General features: G+C 35.4%; 1 annotated feature.

Annotated features, from left to right (window-relative positions):
• Positions 1,828-2,051: a silencer, noted in NCBI's record as "fragment chr1:100025794-100026017 (GRCh37/hg19 assembly coordinates)". NCBI's record gives its function as "represses an EF-1alpha promoter that drives an FKBP-Casp9 reporter gene in an ReSE screen in K562 erythroleukemia cells {active_cell/tissue: K562}" and the evidence as "EXISTENCE:reporter gene assay evidence [ECO:0000049][PMID:32094911]".

Genomic DNA, 2,818 nt, shown 5'->3' on the forward strand with positions numbered 1-2,818 from the left:
TGTATTTTTTGTAGAGACAGGGTTTCACAATGTTGCCTAGGCTGGTCTCAAACTCCTGAAATCAAGTGATTCCCTCAACCTCAGTCTCCCAAAGTGCTAGGATTACAGGCATGAGCCACTGTGCCTGGCTAGGTTTGTTTCTTTTTTTTTTTTTTTTTTTCCCAGTCTGTGACTTGTTTTGTTTGTTTGTTTTTTACTCTTTTTTTAAACTCTAAGTTCTAGGGTACATGTGTACAACATGCAAGTTTGTTACCTATGTATACATGTGCCATGTTGGTTAAAAGAGAAGGTAGGATATGCTAATACTTAAGTGTCAGCAGAAAAGTTATGGAACCTACCCAAGTTCTGACTCAGCAGCAAGAGATCATTTCTTTCATTGGATGTCTGAAATAGCAATTAAAGGAGATAATAATAAAGTCATGTTTATTTTACATGCCTTTAGTCATGTTTTTCCAAAAAGGTCTAATCTCACAACTAATCTCTCTCAATCTCTCTCTCTCTCTCTGTCTTTCTCTCTCTCTCTCTCCTATGTGTCTGTCTGTCTCTCTCTTTCTCAAGGGTCTTTGAATTCATCATTAAAAGGAATTTTAAAAAATAATATTATAACATGCCAACATAGGCAAATAACATACTCAACACAATTGAATTTGCATCCTCTATTAGGCAGTGTTCTGTTGCAGAGAACAGAACTCGCACACAAAGCACGTAGCCCAAATAGCATCTTGCACATACTAAGTGCTCCGTGAATAAAAGCTACTATTACTTTAAACACTACCTCTTGTGCATTGCTGAGGGATAAGCCATTCCTTATTTTTTCTCTTTATATGCTGTTCTGCCTGCTACTTACAAAGAAATATATTATGCTTTCTCTTTTAACTCATACCTTTTATTTGCACATACCAAGACTCTTTCTAATCATTAGAAATAATAAATTACTCTTGTGCATTCCAAACCCTGAAGAAAGTTAAATATTTACAAAGTTCTGCATGGTAAATAAAGAACAATTCATGGAGATCGGCCCTATAAGAATGATTCTTTATACACTTTTGGAAAGCTCCATCAGAAATTTTGGCCTCAACATTACAGGAATAATTCATCTTACCTTTAATGTTATCACTGCTTTTAACTTCCTCGTGGACCCATGCAAGAATGAAATGCAGCAAAATTAACAGGAGCTACTAGTCAAACTCGTATTCTTCCATAGTCTAAATTTTTGTTGCTGTCAATTGCAATCGCTTGAGTGACAAACTAGGGTGAAGCAAAATTTCTTCCCGTTTTTCTTCTACCCTTCCCTGCTCCAAAGCCAAATGGTAAAAACTGCCCGATTTTTCAGCCATTCAATATTACCATAAAATTAGAAAATCCTACATTTTCTGCATTTTTATGAGAACATACATTCACAGATTCAAATATTCAAATAATGATTAACTATTTTATGAATCTTTATGGTATACAGAGCACTTCCACTATTCATTACTCTTGCGATGAAGAGTACTTGCAATAAAGTCTAGCCCCCATGAGCCAGATTTTATTATTTCAAATTTAAGATTAAGATTAAAATTAAAATATTTAAGATTAAAATTAATCTTAACTTTAAGATTAAGAAACCAAAGTGTAAGATCAAGAAAGTAATAAATGCTGGAATTATTATATAACTCAACTATTAGACCTCTGAACCGAAATTCCTTGTTCATTTCAGTATTTCATGCTTTTTAAGTGTCTTCAAAGAAAAAAAGAAAATGCTTTCTGCTTTTCCTGAAAATTAGTCATCTATAAAGAAGTGGAGTGATCTAGCAGTTAGGACACATGAGGAGGACAGAGGGAACTCTGATTCTTCTTTTATACTTATTGAATGACCAGGAAATACAGCAAATACTCTCTGGGCCTTCAGACCTCCTCTTGTGAATAGACATTTTCACTGCCTTCTGGGGAAGCTAATGAGACTGGGAAGGGAGAAGATAAGGGTGAGGAGGTGTAACCGATCTTGCAAAAAAAGTAGAACGGATTTCAGCCTTTCCAACTGTGCAGCTTAGCATAGATCTTGGCAGGTGGTATGAACAAATTAAGGCAGGCTACAGAGAGATGATTAGGAAGATCTCAGCAGAACACCCAAAAGCATCTCTTGATAGCTGCAAATCCATCATTAGGCAGGGCTAAGGAAGCTTCATAGACTGATTCTATTAGTCAAAAACTCTGGTGAAACTCCCATTGTGGGCTGACTCAGTATACATGCAGTGTGGGCTGATCTGAAAGGATAAGGGATCTAAAGAAATAGAGAAAATGTTCATGAAGCACTTTGAACTCTTAAAACATAAACACTGCTAACTATGAAGTGCCATCAGCAATGACTGTTTGTGGTGCTAGAAGGGTGATGTTAATCGTGCATTACAAGTAAACTTGTTTTCTTACACCTACAAGAATAGTGGCTGATAAACCTGACTTACCAGATAGACATAGTTCTTAATCTCACTGTCACAAAGGAAAAGGTTTTATCATAACAGCATTGTTTGTTCTCTTTCTATGCCATACCTTAAAATTGCTCACCTTCATCATTGCTTTGTGAGCTACATTCTTCCTTTTTCTAAAGGCCTACAGTGAAGAGTTCTACCTCCAAATATCATCTTGCCTTCTTCCCCTATTAGCTACCTCCTCACCCTTCTCTTACCTAACAATCCCTTCCGTTTACATTCACATTATTACACAGATATGTCCAAATTTAAGAAAGTTTAAGAAATAGAAAAAAATTTGAACTTATAAATATAGTAATCATGAGACATGTTTCTCAAATATTCCTTTGTTTTACAAAATATTAGCATAA

The sequence above is a fragment of the Homo sapiens genome, chromosome 1 (assembly GCF_000001405.40).
Source record: "Homo sapiens chromosome 1, GRCh38.p14 Primary Assembly".
Taxonomy (NCBI): domain Eukaryota; kingdom Metazoa; phylum Chordata; class Mammalia; order Primates; family Hominidae; genus Homo; species Homo sapiens.